At 35.1% G+C, this 21,587-nt stretch overlaps 1 protein-coding gene across 7 annotated transcripts in view, besides 1 other annotated feature; it reads right to left on the minus strand.

Moving 5' to 3' along the window:
• Nucleotides 1-21,587, minus strand: part of PABPC4L (poly(A) binding protein cytoplasmic 4 like) — a 253,443-nt gene that overhangs the window by 42,824 nt on the left and 189,032 nt on the right. For 2 of the 7 annotated variants that reach the window (XR_007096357.1, XR_001741134.2), the window contains 2 exons: nt 19,327-19,408; nt 17,134-17,162 (listed from right to left, as the gene is read on the minus strand). The gene's annotated coding sequence lies outside the window, so the exon portion shown is untranslated. Of the gene's footprint in view, nt 1-16,541; nt 19,409-21,587 lie in introns of those variants that run through there. The other 5 variants (XR_001741133.2, XR_001741139.2, XR_001741135.2 and 2 more) reach the window with 3 other exon arrangements.
• Nucleotides 20,798-21,328: an enhancer, noted in NCBI's record as "NANOG hESC enhancer chr4:134933235-134933765 (GRCh37/hg19 assembly coordinates)". NCBI's record gives its function as "activates a minimal SCP1, AML or CMV promoter by ChIP-STARR-seq in primed H9 embryonic stem cells {active_cell/tissue: H9 hESC(primed)}" and the evidence as "EXISTENCE:reporter gene assay evidence [ECO:0000049][PMID:30033119]".

The following is a 21,587-nucleotide window of genomic DNA, read 5'->3' on the forward strand; positions in this document are numbered from 1 at the left end:
TTAGTCTTAAGTTGCCTTACATCTGCTGTTAAATTATCCTGTAAGGTTCCCCAGAGGTGTTGTTTCACCTTATCCCAACTACGTATTGATTGATTCCAAGGTTGAGAGGTGACACAGATATGCTTATGCTTCCAGTCACAGTTTAATTACTGTTTGAATGCCAGTGCATCTTGCCGCTCCCCTACATATTCCAAGGCAGGCTTGAGGGCTTGCAGGCATGTAAGAATCTTTTGATCTGTATCCTGCTGTAAGAGAAGCTTGTTAGACACATTTCTGGCCAAGCTATCTACAAAGGTAGCTGTTTGTGCTGATTCAGTAAAAGAGGCCACAGCAACACTACCAGTTGCCAAGATGACTATGGCTGAGACTATAAAGGCTATAAGTGTGCCTATGAATCTTTTGTGTCTGACCTGGGACAGGGCACGTTCTAAGGTGGCAAGAGCAGAGGAACCTTGCCAGTTGCGTGTTAAATTGACTGGTAGGAATGCCTCAGATTGTCTCCTTAATACCATGACACTAGTAATATTTAAATTAGATATATTGTAATTAGTGATACATGAGGCAAACCAAGCCTCTCCTTGCACTCAGGTCACAAGTGTGGAGTTTCGGGGTGTAATGGAAATATTGGTTCCCATAAGGAAAACATATGAATGGGTAGTGCAAATCAGGCATTGATCTGTGTGATTATGAATAACGGTCATAGTATAGTTGTTACTGGAATTATGATATGTCCCATGCCAGGTATTAAGGGAGGTGCTAAGATGTCCCAGGTGCCGTAAAGTGTTTTAGGGTGGCATGGACTCTATTTGGGGTCTGGGATGTCCCATCCCCCCATTGGCCCAAATCATAAGGGAATGGGATGTGGCTATGAAATTGTGATCAAAGCCACGATGGATGCAGACATCAGTATGGTCGCCCTGCAAATGGCAGTGGGAGTCTAAGATGTTATAATTGCCTAACTGGAGGCTATGGGCTTCTCCCCTGTGGTAGACCTCTCAGCCATAGTGGAATTCATTACTTTTCTGGCTACATCCTTTTGCACAAGAAGGAATGTTGGAGAAAGTGGCATTAGTTGCATTGCCCAGTTTGAGGCTACCTTCAACAAAGAATGTTAAGACATTTCCTTTGCCCTTATGTAGCCATAATTGTGTTTGGGCAGGTATACAGTAAGGGTTAGAACTTTTATAACTTACACACAGTGGGAGGATAGTGGAGTGATATGTAGTTTTACCTGGCACCTTAGTCCAATGCATGTCATTAATGAGGGACCCCATTGAGAGTAAGTCAATCCCTCCTAGCCAAGCAGTTATATTATTAGAGGCTGGGAAGGGGGTGTCCGCCCAGGTAACAGAGTGGAAGAAGGGTGGATCTAAGAGATGAGGCCAATAGAATGTAGCAGGTACGGGTTGCAGACAAAATGAGAGCATAAAAAGGATCAATACCGTATGCAAATTGCAATGTACAACAGAGAGCATAGCAAGGAACAAATTATGTGGAGTGAATGGTGAATGGTGTCTGTATCCAGTGCAGGATTCACTCAGCCTCCTGAGTTGTCTTTGTCAGCATCCCCCAGGTGATGTTCGGGGCTTGTGTCATCTGAGGAAGCCACATTGTCTGGGACTGTGGGTCTTGCAGGGTCATTTCCTTCATTTCTAGTACCAGGTTGGGTCCTAGCCATGCCATGGTATGGTTTAATGCATCGTGCTGGAATCCAAGGAGGGCCTGAGGGGGTGTGAACATAAGCATATCCTCTTTCCCATGTTAGCAAATCATTTGGACAATGCCATACATTAACATTTACATCCTTCCATAAAACTGCAGGTTTTATGTCTTAAGAGGTTTTAGAAAGTGTTTTTCTATAGCTGATTGAAATTTATGATGTAAATTTTAAAAATTAAGGTAAATAAGGCTTGTGCTAATAGTGTTGCAGGGTCCTTACTCATATTCCCCCTTTTTTGTTTTCTGAGCATATTTTTAAGAGTAGAATGAACACGTTCTACTGTGGCCTGTCCTTGGGGGATATATGGGATGCCTGTAGAATGTTGGATGTTCCACATGTGACAAAATTGTTGAAACTGTGAGCTGATGTAAGCCAGACCATTATCAGTTTTAATTTTTGTGGGCTGCCCCATAAATTCAAAAGTTGAGAGAAGATGTTTAATAACATATCAGGTGGACTCTCCAGGAAGAGCATAAGCACTAATTAAGTGAGAATTGGTATCAACAGATACATGTACATATCTAAGTTTTCCAAATTCAGGGACATGAGTAACATCTGTTTGCCATAACTGATTAAGTTCTAGTCCTCTAGGGTTAATACCTGTTGAAGGAGGGGACATACCTATGAGCTGGCAATCTGGGCATTGCAGGATAATATGTTTAGCTAGTCTTTGGGTTAACTGAAAAGGTTTAGTTAAGTTTCTCCAATTTTGGTGGAAAAATTGATGTGATTGAGTGGGTGGGTCAAGCACTGATGTCATAACTTGCAAGTCGGCTTGATTATTGCCAAAAGCCAGTGGACCAGGCAGTGAGCTGTGGGCTCGAATATGTGTGATAAAAATAAGATGTGTAGATCTAGCAGTTGCTGAAGTAGAAGAAAAAGTGCACACAGGGTGGGCTCAAGAGTAGACTTAATGAGGGCTGTCTCAAGGTTCTGTAATAAATAAACAGAGTAAGCAGAGTCACTAACAATATTGATAGGCTGAGTGGAAAAGGTCTCCAAGGCCAATATTAAGGCTCCAACCTCAGCTCTTTGAGTGCTAGTAAATCCAGAAGGAGTAAGAGCCAATCTTGAGGAATCACTGTGGGGAATTGTTGAAGGGGCCCCATAGGTTGCAAATTAGCATTAATAGCTTGTAAGTCATGAAAAAGTCTCCCTTTGCCAGACCTTTTGGGAATGACGAAAATGGGTGAATTCCAAGGGCTGTTTGATGGTTCTATATGGCTGGCTTTTGGTTGCTCCTCAACTAATTCATAGGCTCTTTGTAATTTCTCTCCCTTTAAAGGCCACTGCTTTACCCAAATTGGATCTTGAGAGAGCCACATTAAGGGTATGGGCGGAATAATAACAGTGGCCATTATTAGAAAGGGGTCTACAGAGTGATCCCCCATTGGGCTAATAGGTCCTGTCCCCAAATATTAATGGGCATAGGCACAATTAGAGGTTGTATAACTGCTTTTCTTCCCTCCGAATCCCAACATGTTAGGGGATGCGTGCTTTGCTTGGCTGTGTGCACTTCCCTCATGCCGATAATTTTTTGCTTCTGAGTGACCCGAGGCCAAGTTTCTGGCCAGTCTTGATCACTAATGATTGAAATATCCACCTCTGTGTCCAATAAGCAATTTTATTTCCAATTTTTAAGGTAATCATGTGTCTTTGATCTGTGATTAATTGGTTCCAGTATGCTCCTGTGGCTCCCGTGCTTCCAAAACTTCCCTTTCCCGTTTCCTTTCCCTGGGCATTGGGGACCCAGTATGGTAAAAGTAGCAACTAAACTATCTTTGATCCAGGTAGAAGAATATGCAGACTTTTACATTTCATCATAAATAATATCTCACTATTAATTACCCCTGTGATCACACTGATTCCTTTACTGGATAGGCTTGATTGCACTAGGACTAATCCCACTGTTCCCAGAGGCAGTGGGCCCCAGATCCCGGTTGCAACCTTTTTAGGGTCTTCTTCTTTAAGGACTAATTTTTTGGAGCAGAGTAAGTCCAGTCATGCACTCCCAGAGGTGGCCGCTCTGAGAGAGAGGACTGTGAACTTTCCATCTGACTGAGAAAACCCACTGGCATTGCCCTAGTTTGGAGCGGGGCCTGGGGCCAGCCCCTCATGAAGTTTCCCACCTGATTACTTAGGGGGTTGCCGTTTTTATCAAATTTGGACAGTCATTGATTTGCCAAATGTTTCCCCTTTTTACAGCAGGGGCATATAGAATGGGGTTCTTTTCCCACGTTACCTTGGTCTCTACTATTGGGGCACTCCCTCTTCGTATGACCTGACTCTGCATAGGAAACAATTTGGGTTTCTCTCCCTTTTCACCTTAGGAGGCTTTAATGCCATAGCCAATATTTTGGCTTTGTGTGTTTCAGTCCCCACCAGTTGACATGCTCATGTAAGTCCCCAGACTGGGGCTGCCTTTCCTCTGATTGCCTGCATTGCTTGCTGGCAGTCAATGTTAGTGTTTTCATAAGCCAATTGCAACAATAAGATATCAGCGGCCTGGGTATGACTAATTTGTCTCTTAATTCCCTGGGCTAACCAATTGATAAATTCAACAAATGGCTCCTGAGGCCCTTGCTGAACATTTATAAAAGATCTCTGTTGAACTTCACTTTTGAGAATTTGGTCCCAAGCCCTGAGAGTGCACAAAGACACTTGTGCATAGGTTTGGGAAGCCAAACTTAATTGTTGTTGTACACTGGCATAGGGACCCCTCCCCTGGAGCATAGCAGCTGTTACGTCTCGCCCGGCCACTTGATTCTGGTTGGCTTGTTCACACAACTCATTATATTCTGCCTTCCAGAGGAGATATTGGCTGGGCTGTAAGGTTGTTTTAGCTAGCACTGACCAGTCCCATGTGGGTATATGGAAGTTGTTTGCTATGGCTTCAATTAATCCTTTTGTAAATGGGCTAGTGGCTCCCTTTTCTCTAATTCTTCTTCATATCTCTTTATAAGCATCAAAAGAAATAGGTTCATACACCTGATTGACTTGTTGATCTTGTATTACCAGGCAGGCCAAGAGCTCCCTTTCTAATGCCACTTGCCTAAGACAGGGTCCCATAGCTGTAGCATATCTCTTCTCTTTTTTCCAATTTATTGCAGGAGGGGGCTCAGGCAAAACCTCTGTTTCCTCTTTGGTATTTTTGCCAGAGAATGGTGGGACTGAGGTAAAGAAGGTGACGGTTCCTCCTCCCTTCCCTTTTTAGGCTCTTCTGTGTAGAGTGGGACCAAAGCAGCCCTAACTAAGGCCCATAACATTAGAGATGTTATTGGGACCTGTTGCCCTTGTGTATGATGTTCTTTAAGATTTCTCCCCACTTGTTCCCAGAGCTCCACATCTAGCAAGCCTTATTCTGAGAACCATGGGTTATGGGAAACAATAGTCTGCATTAAGCCCCTTAATTGAGCCTGCGAGACGAAGGCTCCACTAGCTTTAAGCAGCTGTTTCAGTACTTTTATATACTGTTGCTGTTGAGCTGATAACTGTTGTCCCATGATGTAACCCTAGCCTGAACAAGTCGCTCAAACTTGGAAATCCCCTGCAGGCACCAATGACTTACTGACTGTGCAGTCTCTTCACCTTCATTTTTGAGAGTTCTATTGCAATCCGTTGCAGCATTCCTCACACAGGGCACCACCTGCCTCTAAGTCTGTCCTGCAGACTCTGGCTGAGGGGTGGATGAAAGAAGTATGCCGACACAGGTATTTTGCCTGACAGCCCAGGTAGGGGACCGCACTGCTTAGCACCGCCAATGACAGTGCAGCAGCAGCAGCTACCCCCATAAGTACAGATTATTTAGTACAGATTTAATGACAAAGGCTTGGAGCAAACACAATTTGTAGGTAATTAACATTGTCGACCCCCTAGTAGAGAGCAGTCCTGCAGTGAATGATCAAAGGTTGGTTTCTAGAGACAAAAGTAAACAAATGTAGATAAGTTTCTTTACATTCTCTTGTTATCTATCCTTTGCTCTCAGTCTCTAGATAAGACAATCAGCTGCCTTCAGCTTAATCCTCTCCCAAAGCTTTTGCAAAGCCTCTCGGCTTTCCAAGCATCTTTCCTATAATTTTTCCCACCACCCTGACCAATCTCCTACAATTAAGGCCTCTCTATTACCTGAGACACCATACTGAAATTAGGTTAATTAATAATCCTAAAACGACCTCTAAGTGCTCAAGTAAAAGGAAGAGTCAGGAGTCATACATCTCTCGCTTTAAATCAAAAGCCAGAAATGATTATGTTTTGTGAAGAATACATGTCAAAAGCCAAGACAGCAGAAGCTAGGCCCCTTGTGACAAACAGCCATATTTTAAATACAAAGGGAAAGGTTTTTTTTCAAAATATTACCTCTCATTTACAATGCACCTGGTCACCTAATGGCTCTCATGAAGATGTACAATAAGATTAATATTTTCATGCCTGCTAGCATGACATCCATTCTGCAAATCATGGATCAAGGAGTAATTCTGACTTTCATGTCTTATTAAAAAAAAGAAAAAAAAACCTTTTGTATAGTTGCCATAAAGAGTGATTCCTCTGATGAATCTTGGCAAAGTAAATTGAAAATCTCTGGAAAGAATTCCCACTCTAGAAGCCATTAAGAAGATGTGTGACTCATGGGAGGAGATCAACATAAAAACATTCACAGGAATTTGGAAGAAGTTGATTTCAACTCTCATGGAATGACTTTGAGGAGTTAAGACTTCAGTGGAGGAAGTAACTACAGATGTGGTGGAAACAACAAGAGAACTGAAGATAATAATAATGTCATATAAAGTGTTATGACAAATGTCATATCTTCACTTCCGTGTAATGCATGTTTATATCACTTGAGCTATGTAATTAAGCTGAAGTTATCTTGTCTTATCTTTTAATTTTTAACATGCATGTTTTAATTTATATTTTATGTAGTATTTTATTGTTTATATATATCAGCAATATCTTCTCATTTCCTTTTTAATTTTCAGTACCATTTGTATAATTTTTAAACTTCAAGTACCACTTGTATATAATCAAATGTACAAGTATACATTTGAACCATTTGTATGATCATGGAATTTGTTACTTATATACTTCTGATGTGGTTAAAAGACAAATTATTTAATCTATAATTTTTATAATATATCTTATTTGAAACCTTTTCCTATCCTATGGTTATAATTATATTCTCTATTTTCATTAATATATTAATTATACTATTTCTAAGGCTATAATGATGGTCTATATTTTCTTCAGAATATGATATATTTAGTTTTGTATTAGGACCTGATTTATTTAATTGGCATGAGCTGAAGTTCACATTTTCCCATGGATATTCCACCGTCACATAATATAGTCAATTACCCATTGATTTGCAATGTTATCTCTATAATACATCATGAATCCAAGTAAATGTATGTATCATTTTCTTTTATATCTACTTGATTCTATTCATAGTTTTATATACTATTGCAAAAATAAAAATCTCTCACAAAATACACCTTTATAATAAGCTTTGCTATTTGATGAGATGTTCCTGTCTTTCAAAATCATCTTGAATATTATAAACCCATTACCCTAGAAAAGATCTGTGTTTGTTTTTAAGAGAATAAGGGAATACAAATCTGTGAACCCTTTTTTTAATCATTGCAGTTTTTAACTACACATTCAAATCTGTAAATTCAAATACAATACTCAAACATTCTTAGGTCTATAGTTCAATTGTTCAAAGAAGATGATAATTATGGTTTTTTTTTTCTAATGTTGGCATGGAGTTGGATATTTTTCTTTTGCAATCATTATTTCCATAAGTAGGATCTTTCCCCCTAGTTTAATTGAGAGTGCAATTCATTTGAATGTTTTAATTTTAGTTAGGTGTTTCCAGTTCTGCTTTCCACTAAGTTGCTTGGGTAAACATTTCCCTCTGATGCCAGCTATTTTTTTATTTTTATAATTTCTACTTCTCTGCTGATCAATAGACCCTCATTTTAGAGGTGTCCACCCTATACCCAGATGAAAGGACTGTTCTTATCTTTCTTATCTCTTAAGGCACAAAAAATAATCTGAACATATAGACCTTGCTAAGCTCTTCCCAGTTTATTAGATCATGCCCCTTTGTCCAATCATACTGTTCCACACATATTACATCAACAAACATAGCATAAATATCAACAGGTTTCCCTGTTTCTTTGGGTCTTGACTTCTGAAAGTTCCTATGCTGTGTAAAACCCAAATTTTTACACTTTTCTTTTGTAAATTTGTCTTTTGTTTTAGGGAACTCAGCCATGAACTCAGAGATGGGAAAGAAAGATATTTATTTTCAACCCCTACAGAAGCAAAAGTCTACTGCCATCAAACCTAACACTGGAATTGATATGATTCCAATGCAGCCCTGGCTTTGATGTAATGCTTCCTTTTGTCGTTGTTGTTATTATTGTGTTGTTTGCTTGCTTATTTTGGTCTTGTTGGTTTTATAATTTTTGCAAACATATCAATGACACAAAATATATATTTTATAATGTTTCACATATCTAGGTAAATTTCATCAGTAGATTTCACAAATTTTTTATGTTATTGTAGTAGACAAGAGAAGGCATTGTTTAATTAGCCTGAATATGCTTTTTATAAGATATATCTAATTTAGTGACATCCCTATTTCCTATGAGCTTATTTTTAGTGCAGGAATACAAGGGGAAAAAAGTTTCCATGGGAGTACAGGAAAATAAAGGCTTGGTTCTTACTATGTTTCATTAAAATAATAAAGATATTTGGTCGTTTGAGGAGAGAGAGTTCAATTTTCAGTTCCTTTGTTGAGGGAAATTAGTTATATTTTCCAATGCAAATCTGCCCAGGGATGAAGGGAAAATACTTAAATTTTAAAAAGCAAAGTTTTTAAATGGATTTTATTAAAATATTAAACTTGATATTACAAAGTAATATCACTTTATACAAAGTAATATGTATGTACTTTTAAGTTTAAGTGCAAAATAAAAATATTTTTTTCAAAATTGGCTTGTAAGTTATATTTTAAAAGCACACAGATCAATGATGCACCTGAAATTTTGCTCATCTTCGTGAAGATTCACATGTGTTTACATGGAAATATTTTCAGGCAATCTGAAGAGTTTTAAATAGCAACCACAAGAAAATGGAAATGAATAACTTCATTTTCTTAATGAACTCACAAGTTAGTGGAAATCAAAAAAGCATATACAACTTACTCTGACCCATCATAGTACATGGCATAAGGGCACAGCATTAATGCCATGAACATTAGATGACAAAAGCAATGATTCGTCTAGAAAATGTAAAATGCTTAACAGAAAATATAACATTTGAACTAAGACTTAAATGAAAAGTTAAAGGAAAGGAAGACTATAACAGCCAACAATTTAAAGTAATAGGAAACAGTTACTGGTACTTATTCTTTATCAAATAACATTTTAAGTGCCTCATATTCCCTGAGTGGTTTTATTCTGGCAATATAAAAAGTTAGACTTAATCTAACCTAAAAAATTGGTTTTAATCTTAACCCTTTAAACATCTGTGATAGTTACTTTTACGTGTCAAATTAACTGGATCTCAGAATGCTCAGATAACTCATTAACTTTTTTTCTTGGTATGTCTGTAAGGGTATTTTCAGAAAAGATTAGCATTTGAATTGGCGACTGAGTACAGTGGATTGCCTTCCTCAATATGAGTGGCAGCAGTCAACCCATTGAGGACGTGACTAGAACCAGAAAGTGGAGAAAGGGAGGACTCCACCCCTCTCTGCCTAACTGGTAAGCTGGGAAACTGAATTTCCCTGGCCCTCAATGCTCTTGGTTCTCAGGCCATCAGATCTGGACTGGAACATACACCATCAGCAATCTGGCTTCCAGGCCTTCACCCTACACCACCGGTTTTCCTGGGTCTCCAGCTTTCTGATGGCAGATTTTGAGACTTCTTGGCTTCCATAATCTCAGGAGGCAACACTTCATAATAAATCAGTTTTATATACATATATAAAATCTCCAATTTGTTCTATTACTTTGGTGAACCCTGACTGATAAAACATCTGAAGAAACTAAGCCATAGAGAGGTTACGTAACGTTTTCAACAGCACATATGAAATTTTTAGCAGAGTTTGTATTCAAACTCAAGCAATCTCTGTCTACCATCTGAGTAATTGACCTCTATGTTATGCTAACAGGTTTAAGCATGACAAACATTTTTACAAGCTGAAAAATGGGAGTAAGCACTCCACCCAGAAGAAACAGCATGACAGCATGAGCAAGAGCACCAGACAATTAGAGCACAGATATTCTAGTAAGGCTAGTGAACTGGACCCATGGTAGCTAGGAAGTCATATTATACATTATCCTACACTGCTCACAGAAAGAATGAGCTAATTATGTTGATGTGACCCCTTTATTTTGCCGTAATTAGTCAGATGGTATTCATCCCAACCTCAACCAGTTGCCTTGAGCAATGTTTTATCATCATAGTCATGAGCAGGACTTTACTAGTATTACTTTCTATATGAACAGAAATAACCCAGTCTAGAAAAGTATTTACTTAGCCTTTCCCATTTGTGAGAATGAAAGAAGTTGGGATCGATACTATAGTGATAAGATTAGAATAGTTAATGTGAACTTTCTATTAATATAGGGAAATAGAATCTCCAGGGACAAGATGGAATCTGTGGCATAATTTTTATAAGTGAAGAAAACTTACAATTAAAATACACATACATACTATATAAAATAATTCTCTTTCAAACTAATATGGTGCTACTTTTTCCTTATATAGTAAAAAGACATCAAAACAATTATAAATCATATCTATAGTAACCAATGTGTGTTCACACTCTATGCTTAACAGATTTTTATAAAAACAGATCAAGAAGACAGGATTATAGAAACTCAGTAGTGTTCATGGTTTCAGAGTAGAGCTAATGATTTCAGAATCAAGTGGATAAGCCTGAAAAGCCACAGATTCTTGAAAAATACAATGGCAATGAGATATTGATTAAATAATATGAATCTGCCTGAAAACTGAATTTCAAAATGTGAGATAATAAAATATTGGTGTTTCAATAAATCTTCAGATGTTCTCTATTCTCCAATATGTGGCTTCTTCAGATCATAATAATAATTTTTAAAGTAAGATATATATTGCATAATAATTGGACAGCTTCAAAGAATAACTTAAATCCGGTAAATATTGAAATATCCCTAAAAATGAAAAACTCATGCTTCTTTTATTGTTTCCTAGGGGAAATTTGAAGATATTTGGCATTCACCAAATTTAATACAAAATATTATATTAAAGTATTCATTATATCCTTATTTAAAAGTTATGTAAAAATTTATATGCAGGAATAAAAATATGAAATCATTTTTATCTTCAAGCATGTCTGAATTTAATGAAAGTGATAGACATATATTTGCAATTTAAAATGAATGCTAATACAAGATTAAAAGGGATATACATAAATACAATTTAAGTCAATAATCCTAACTTAACTGAAAATAGGCTAAATAAATCTTCAGAGAAACTTTTTTTATTGTTGTTTTGTTTTTTATGTATTTAGCCATGAATTAATAACTCAAAAGTTTATATTACCTATTTTCCTTGAATAGAATTTAGTTATGTGCCCTTAAACTTAATGATAAGTATCACCTTATATTTGTTCACTACTTTATAATGAGTTTAATACAAATGATTTCTTTGGAGTCTTACAATAGCCAGGATATGAGGCAGGCAAAGAATTATTAGTGCAATTACACAACAAGAGAAATCATGGCTCAGAGAAAATGATACCTTGCAAAATGTGGAGTAATTAAAATGAGTACATGGGTTTTCTGATTCTTAAACTAATGATTTTTCTCCTCACATTGTATCTTCTTCTGGGTATAGCTTGGCAAATTGAATCATCTATGGAACATGAGGAGTCTATTGTTTTTCATGCACCTCTAAAAACTGCAAAACTAGGAAAAAAGACTATAAAAGTTCAGTAAAATTACCCTAAATCACTATTGCACCTGCTTCAGAGGTATATATTGCATGAAGGCTTAAATTCATTTCAGGGGTGTCTCACTTCTCATTGTAAAGTCCTTCAGGCTAAAATAAAAAGAAAATTATAAAGATTCATTAATGTCAGAAGATTATCTGATATAGTCTCTAATGAGGCTCAGCAAAGTCTCACAGTGTCCTTAACAAATTAAGACAAAGAAATATTTAGTTCACGGAAAGGAGAATATGCCTAACACCTTCCAGTTATGTATATTCACATGTCCATTAGAAACACTTACATTTTTTCCAACTCATGGAGAACCCTACTCAACATCCATCACCTTCTTTACATATTTATTCCTCTTAGAACTTATCATCATCTTTGAACATATTGCATATTTCATCTGTTTATGATCTATTATCCTTATCTGAATATAAGCTCTCCAAAGGCAGGGCTTTTGTCTATTTTTTCCTTGTTGCATTTCCTGACTATAAAACAGTGCTTTCATGTGGGATTTTGTAAATATTTATGGAATAAATAAATCATTCATCAATTTTTAAAAGTCTCATTCAATAGCACATTTTAAAAAATAATTTATTACTTTATTAAAAAATAATGATTTCCTACTGTGTTTCTGGCACAGTACTGTATGTGATGAGCCATGCCCATGTTCAGGGAGTTTATAGTCTTGTGGGAAAAAGACTATAGTTGAACCAATTATACTTGTAACCGTCAATGACAATAGAACAGATGGCACACTTTATTTCTCATGGGAGCATCAAGAAATCTTTACACGGGAAGCAAAACGCATGCAGAGACTTCAAGGATTATTAATGTTAAACGGTTGAAAAATAGGAGATTTGAGTTCAGGAGTAGGATATAACATGTGTGAAGGTGTTGAAGCAGAAATAAGCTAGGTATGATTAAGAATAAAGTAATTTTAACTGAATATCCACAGGCAAAACACTGAAAGTGTACCTCATCTCATACACAAAAGTCAACTCAAAATGGATTAAAGACTTAAGCATAAGACATGAAACTCCAAAACCACTAGCCAAAAACATAAGGAGAAACCTACTTGACACTGGTTTACGCAATGATTTTTTGGATAATACCTCAAAGGCACAGGCAACAAAAGCAAAAATAGACAAATATGATTCTAACAAACTAACAAGCTTCTCTACAGCAAAGGAGAAAATCAACAGAGTAAAGAGGCAACCCGAGGAATGGCAGAAAATATTTGTAAACCATATGTCTAATGAGGAGTTACTCCAAAATATATAAGAAAATCAAACAATTCAACAGGAAAAAAAATACGTAATCTCAGGAAAACAAGGGCGAAGGACCTGAATAGACATTTCCCAAAAGAAAACATACAAAAGGCCAACAGGTATATGAAGAGGTGCTCAATATCATCAGTCATCAGGGAAATGCATATTAAAATCACAAGGTGATATAATTTCACATTCATAATAATAGCTGACAGAAGATAAGTGTTGGCACAGATGTGGAGAGATCCTATGTACACTGTCAGTGGGAGTGTAAAGTAGTACAGCCACTATAGAAATCAGTATGGAGGTTCCTCAGAAAATTACCATATAATGCAGCAATCCCACTACTGTGTATATATTCAAAGTAAATGAAATCAGTATGTTGAGGAGATAGCTGCACTCTCACGTTCATTTCAGCATTATTCACAATAAACAAGATATGGAACAACCTAAATGCTCATCAACAAATGAATAAACAAAAAATAATGTGCTATATATACACAATAGAATACTACTGAGATTTTAAAAAGAAGGAAATCTTATTTCCAACAACATGGATGAGTCTGGAGGATATTATGTTAAGGAGATAAGCTAGGCATAGGAATACAAATACTGCATGATCTCTTATATGTGGAATCTAAAGATAATGGAAATCATAGAACCAGAAAGTACATTGGTGGTTGTACTCAAGGCGGCAGTGAGACGGGGTTGGTAAGTGGAGAGATGTTGGCTAAAGGGCACAAAGTTTCAATTAGACAAGAGAAATAAATTCTGGAAATCTATTGTACAGCATGGTGACTATAATAATGATAATGTAAATGTAAAAATTGCTGAGTAGATTTTAAATAATCTCATCACAAAAAATAAGCATGTGAGGTGATGGATATGTTAATTAGCTGGATTTGACCATTTCACAATGTATACATGTATCAAAACTTCATGTACACCATAAATATGTTTGATTTTGTATTTTTCAATTAAGGAAAAAATAATAAAATATTTTTTGTGTGACTCTAACCTAGTGATGGAGGAAAACATACAAGGAAATATGGTTTGACCTGGAAACTGCCATGTATACCTTTGCATATAATAATGAGTATTTTTATCTTTTATTAGTACAACAGAAAATAATGGGAGGGCTTTAAGGAAGAGATGTGATTGTGATCAGATTTATACTTTACAAGATCATTCTTTGTAGTGAAGAGGATATGAATAATGGATTAGTATAAGGCAAAATTAGATGCAGAGATTTTTTATAAGGTATATTTTAGTAATCCAAGTAAATAAATGATAATGGCATAGTTATGTTGCTTACAGCTGGAAGAAGATTGAGCACATTAATTCATTCATTCACTCACTCATTTATTCAAAAAGTTGGTTTTGGAGTGGTTACTGCTTTTCATGTACTATAGACACTAGGCAATCAGAGCTAAACAAAACCCTCATGGACTTAAGTTTACTAGGAAAATCAAATATTTTAAAACACTGGTTAATTAAGAGATTATGTCACTAGGGATCTGCTTTAGATTGGGCTGTGAAAGTTGGCTTCTCAGAGAAAGTGACATTTTACTCGCCATCTGAAAATCAAGATGACTCAATCCAAGCAAACGACAGGGAACAGAGATTACCAGGTAAAGTGAAAAGGTGCAGAGAATATATTTGGATAAAAACATAGTGAGTTGAAACAGTCCAATCTTATGGCTCCAATGTCAGGTTAGGAAGCATAAATTTCAATGCAGACATGATTAGAAGCCATTCACAATTTAAGTTGTGTAATATGTATGTGAAATATATACTTAATATATAAGTAAAATATATACAAATATAACTAAAATCATCCTGTTTCTTTTTAGGTCATGGGGATTACTCACATGAAAGTGTTTTACAGTTGAGAAAGAGTGGACACAGCTTTGTTTTTTCCATGCTGCTCATGGATTGGGCTAATTATAAGAATTTATTAATTTTCATCTAGTTCAATTTATAACATTTCTTTGTGATTTTTTTTCTGTTTTTAAGCTAGTATTGTATGTATATATGTAGTTACATCACATCTTGTACAAACCCACTAAAAAGGGAACAAAAATAATGCTTCTAGTACTATAATCTTGGTAACAAGGTTAATGACCTCATATGGTAGCTATAAGAAAGTAGGGAAAATACCAAGTCCTTCTCCTCCTCTTAAGAAGCATGTCCCAAGCATATGCTACCTGGGCTTTTTCAGCCTTTCTCAGTTTCTAGAAAGTGAGTGGGCAGCCCAGCTACTTTTGTCTCTTTCTGCCTACAGGAATTTCTTGCTTTGGTATGCTTGTGCCTACAGCAAGGATGCATCCAATAACATGCTTCTCATTATGGGTAGGCTTAGTGGGGTAGTATTTAACTTCTAAAGGGTAGGCAGGCTTCTCTGGAAAAAGTATGTTCAAGGTATTTGGGAGGTTGCTTATATTTACGAGTCTATTTTGCCACTTCTACATTACATTCTCCAAATTTCTTTCTTAGTAATATTGCTGATATTTTACTCATCATCTCTCTAAATCTTTTATTTGGTTCAAAACTCGTATGGAGAAATTTTATGTAGTTTTACTTATGTTTTCCAATCTCAAAGTGTGATCTTCTGCTAACATATGAAAGGCAAAGCAATGATGCAAAAAAAAAATTGTGTTGATACTGCAAGTTGTGAATACTGTCAAGTTTATGATATGTAATTAACAGTAACTATTACTACATCAGTTATAAACGGATAAAGTTGTGTTTGGATTAACCAAATGCTCCAAAATATACAAGCAGCATAAAGGATAATGTTTTGGAATAGATAAGATTTTTAAGGCCCACAACCACCACCAAATATGAAAACAAAACAAAATTATGACAGAAAAAGAAGCTCTTCTGAGAACATTATATGGAATCGAGGAAAGACTAAGCATAAGATATGAGTCATCTATTCCCAACTTTACATAATAGGGTTTTATATTTACTATATTTAGACATTCATTCTTGTAATGATGTTAATTGAAAGTTTTTATCTAATTCTTTTAATATGTGGATTAAAGATGGCATTTTGTTTTGTCATAAAATATTACTTTTTCAAAAAAAAAATGACACTTATGTACCTTAAAATAAATTATCTTCCATAAAATACCAACCATATTATTCCTAGTACTACTTCTTTAGTAACCTTTAATAATTGTCAATCACCTTATTGTCAGGTATTGGGCTAAATGCTTTACATATATTATCTCATCTATCCCACACAATTCAAGTTGCTATTACCTTAGTCTTCATTTTATAAATGAGAAGGCTTATATGTAATAAGGTTAAATAGCCTTCTCAATATCATAGATTCCATATGAGATTATACCTCAATTTCAACATAAGTAAAATAATCTGAGCCCATGAGCCTAATTATCATCCTATCTACTACACCCAAAACTATAGATCTTTTTGTATAAATAATACTAATATCAACTTTATAGCATTTTTAAAAATATCTGTATGACCAAAAAGAAAATAGATGTAAATAATGTCTTGAGTTTTCAAGTTAATAAATTTACTAAAATACTCTTAAAAGTAGAATAATACAAATATTTTATTGTCAAAACTATTTTTACATTTTACAATTATTAAAGGAGATAAACTGTTTTACTGAAACTTTTACTATGTCATATTTTAAAAGAGAAATAGTAAATCTCAGAAACTTTGACAGCAATAATCATAATCTAAGATGTGTAAACTATAATGAAATCTGTTATTCAATTATAATCCTGATAAACATCCTCAAGTGATAGTGGAAAGTTATAGATTTCTAGGAGATCATCTAGTTTGCTATGTTGCTCTCCACTCTTAAGTTAAATACAGCTTTCATGAACTTGATGAAGGAGTATTAAATGGTTATTTTGTTTCAAATAAAATCTTGGTACTTTAGAAAAACTTTTAACATTTTTTAAACTGCATATACAGTGGCATAAACCATGTTTTCGAGAAAAATTTTGAAAATTTGTTGGCCAATCAATTATTTGACTTTTTCAAAGCACAATATATTTGGCAGCTTCCTGAACCATTCCATGCTTTGACTTAGCCAGTGTGAATGGATTATAGATGTCTTGCCACAACTTTGTCCTCTAATGTGGAAAATTTGATTGTTGTTTTACTAGTAGACTTACCTAATGCACACAATGTGTCCAAAGTGAGCCTATAAGAAAGTATTAAAAAAAAACCTAAATAACTCAGAAGGTAAAACATGAAAACAACAGCTTGTTTTCATCAAGTCATAAAAATTAAATTATAGAAAGGGGTGAAACTATTTATCCAAACCCTGAACAGAGGAATACAGTTCAAAATAACAATAATGTAGAAATAGATCAAATTTAGCATACATAAATACGGAGATATAGTGAGATGAATATATTTTGACAGTGGGAATTGGTACTTAGGAAAATTACTTGGAAGTATGTAGCAAGAATTTCTAAAATGTGTTGTTTTCTTTTTTTCTTTTTGAACCAGTAATTTCAATTCCTGAAGACATAATATGTAGGATGGTTGAGGAAATATCTCAGTATCTTGACAAAGGTGCTCTTACCAATGTTACATATAAAGTGAAATATTGTAAATAACCTATTGAGGTTCAACAATAAAAGAGAACATAAAATAAAAGGTGAGCATTTGAGTAACACTTGTAAATACTTAGAAGTTGTGCTGCTATAATGTGAAATGGTAAACATAGAGATATAAAATTTTATATGTACCAACTTTTTAAAAATGTTATCAGAAATTATTGGCTATTAAAACACCAAAATATTAGTTGTAATTGCTTCTGGGTAATGAGATTATATGTACTTGTAATTTTATCCTTACATTTTCTGTGTATCCAAAACTTTTCAAAGTAAGAACAAGTCACTCTTATATAATAATAAAAGAAAATTTCAAAATTAAAAATATACACACATATACACAATTATTTTTAACTAGAGAAATTCAGGAGCAACTAAATTTTAAAACACCCAAAAGAATATTTTCTGTGAGTTATTGACATTCTTTGATTGGCACAATACAGATTTGAACATCTTTCATAATATTTACACATTTTACTTATATTTCCCTTGTTTGTGGACTATAATGGACTATACTTAATAGACTATAAACATGTTTAGCACAGTGATAGCACAACCTCTATGGTCTATCTGCTCTCATTATGTTCTCAGCCAATAATTGTTACATTGAAATTTGGAATTAAATATATTGGCTACAGTACTAATTCTGAATACCATTTCAATAGATGTTTGGGCAGCACATAATCACTGTTCTGCAATTTCTAGCCTTTCACTTTGATAGCTTGCAGAAGGAAACACTGCTAGGTTTAATTATTTCTTTCCTATTGTGGAGAACATTTTTTTCAGGCATATCAACCACAAAAAACTTACCATCTTTCTGAGAAATTCATTGAACTAGTAGAGTTTCAGATGTCATAATAGCATATATCTTCCTCTGAAGGCTATGTTGAATTGTGCAAAAAATCCTGAATCTTTGCAATTCTTTTCCCCAATAGAGGGAATTTAGGGACAGTGGTGAACATAAATGTATATTAATTGTTCTATACTAATGTCAAAGAGGACAGTTCTACATTGAAAAGGGTATTTGGGCTGAGTTTGATCTTAATTCTTTTTAGTAGATTCTCATTGATCTGGTTATGAAGCAATTACTTGACAAGGACATAGGAAACTACAAAAGAGAAGCTCAGCTAATGACGGTATAAAGACAGTTCTGATAAGTGGTCAGAAATATGATCAAGGGCAATTTGAGTTACTTTAATCACTCTGTATGGGTTTCTGAATTGTATTAATGATGGTTACATTCTTGTGTTATTAAGCTTCATTTTATACAGGCAAGTGCATGCCAAGAATGTAGTATACTTAAGTCAAAATATTAAGGGTATAATAATTATATTTTCTACTTCTATTTATATTATGTATAATTTGCAACCTGCTTTACAACTGTCTAAAATGTATATTTTAATGCTTTTAGGTACTGCTTTAAGCATGTGAAATCTAAGAAACAAAGCTCATGTAAAATAATACAGATTTTCCTATCAGTGATCAATCAGAATAGATTAAGCCCAATAACATTATTAAATATCTGGCATTTTTATTTTGAACATTCTGACGTAACCATAAAAGCTTTCTAATATGGCTTTATATTTTATTAGTCAAAATAATTAATTTCTGGCTGCTGTCAAGAACAGCCAAAATATCTTAGTGGATTAAAATAATAAAAGCTTATTTCTCCCTTTCATAATAGTAGGGATAAAGTAGGTTTAAAGCGATGCTCTCGTACGAGAAGGATCCAGGGATCCAAGCTACCTGCAGCTTGTGTCTCCAACATCTCTAGGGCTGGATGCAGAATTCTTCATTGGATCCGCTGAATACAGTTGGCAATGATAGCCTATGACAGAGAGTAAAGAATGTATTACAGCCAAGTCGATGTATGTAAATCTCTTCTACCCACAGTCCTTTGGCCAAATCATATAGCAAGTAACAAACCACAAGAGGACTGCAATTTTTTGAAGTACTGTTTCCAGATACCCATGATGAAAAAGTGGGGTTGTGAGAAATCACCCAATCTCTGTCACACATGTTATCTGTTTAGACAGCCCTTTAATAGTTGACATAAGGGAATTACATAACACATATAGCAAGTTTGAAGAATAGAATATTATTTTATGATAAAATAAAATGTAGACTTCTATTTTCTTACTTTTTGGCACTTAAAATTGTGAAAATAAAGCTATTCTTTCAGATACCAAATAATACATTCCTCTGAATAATTTTTAAACTTTAAATTTTAATGAGTGTTGTATACTTTGTTCTACTGTATTATTTACCCTTGATTTAAATTTTGACTCATTTTGTGGCTCAAATAAGATGTATAGAAAAGACACCTTCAATTTATATTAGAAATTCCCCAAATACCTTTACACTGATTTCCAAAATAAGTAGCATCAGCTTCCCAGAGACCTAATGCTAATTTTTATTGATGGCTACCATCAGGAAATTAGTTAACATTACATTACAAGTTTCATTTTGAAAATCATAGAAAGTAAAAGAATGAGGATGCTGGTGTCATATTGTTATAGAATGCTGAAAAAAAATTCCAGGAATATATTCTTGAAACATTTTGTAAATATCAATTGCTTTGGAACTTAATGCAGAAAAGGTAACAAATCATTTTTAGAGAAAAATAATCTCAACATTTTCTTTTTCTAAGCTCCATATTTATTTACTATGCAAGAAACTTTATCAGAATGTGTAGTAGATAGTTTCTTAATATAGGTATATTATTTGACATATTTTCTATAATTATGAATACGATTATTTTATTCTCTCTTTTTTTGCCCTACAAACTAAACAAATTTTTATTTAAATAACGCCAAACTTTTTGAAGACAAAATAAAACAGATATGCTCTCATTCTTTGCTGATGGCTTTCTGGTGCAGTAACCCAGAAGAGTAATTTAACGATATGTAGAAAAAGCCATAAAATCTTGCATATTTCTTGACTCAATCATTCTGTATTTAGGAATTGCTTAAGCAAATACTTAAGCAGGATGGAAAGCTATTTACACTTAGATGTTCATCACAGCATTGATTGTAATAATAAAATATTGGGAGCAGCCTCCCTCTGACTTTAAGTAGTCTCCCTTTTCTGTTTTTCCCTTATTTGTGCCCATATGTACTCTCACTCTTCTTGTTAATCTTTGTATATACTGTATTGAAATCTCTATTAATATATTTATTCTTGAAGATTTTCTTTCTCTTTTGGGCTTTAGAGTCTGTCTATCTGGTTTGAAATGCTGGTTTCAATGCTAGCTCTGTTGCCCCAAACAAGTTTAATTTCTTCATCTGTAAAACTGGTATAATAGTACCTAGCTATACAATTTTTTAAACTTTTATTTTGCATTCAATGGTGTCAGGCCTCTGAGCCCAAGCTAAGCCATCATATCCCCTGTGACCTGCACGTACACACTCAGATGGCCAGTTCCTGACTTAACTGATGACATTCCACCACAAAAGAAGTGAAAATGGCCTGTTCCTGCCTTAACTGATGACATTGTCTTGTGAAATTCCTTCTCCTGGCTCATCCTGGCTCAAAAGCTCCCTACTGAGCACCTTGTGACACCCACTCCTGCCCGCCAGAGAACAGCCCCCCTTTGACTGTAATTTTCCTTTACCTGCCCAAGTCCTGTAAAACGGTCCCACCTCTATCTCCCTTCGCTGACTCTCTTTTTGGACTCAGCCCGCCTGCACCCAGGTGATTAAAAGCTTTATTGCTCACACAAAGCCTGTTTGGTGGTCTCTTCACATGGACATGCATGAAATTTGGTGCTGTGACTTGGATCGGGGGACCTCCCTTGGGAGATCAATCCCCTGTCCTCCTGCTCTTTGCTCCATGAGAAAGATCCACTTACAACCTCAGGTCCTCAGACCAACCAGCCCAAGAAACGTCTCACCAATTTCAAATCCGGTAAGCGGCCTCTTTTTACTCTCTTCTCCAACCTCCCTCACTATCCCTCAACCTCTTTCTCCTTTCAGTCTTGGTGCCACACTTCAATCTCTCCCTTCTCT

Source organism: Homo sapiens, chromosome 4 (assembly GCF_000001405.40).
Source record: "Homo sapiens chromosome 4, GRCh38.p14 Primary Assembly".
NCBI classification, from domain to species: domain Eukaryota; kingdom Metazoa; phylum Chordata; class Mammalia; order Primates; family Hominidae; genus Homo; species Homo sapiens.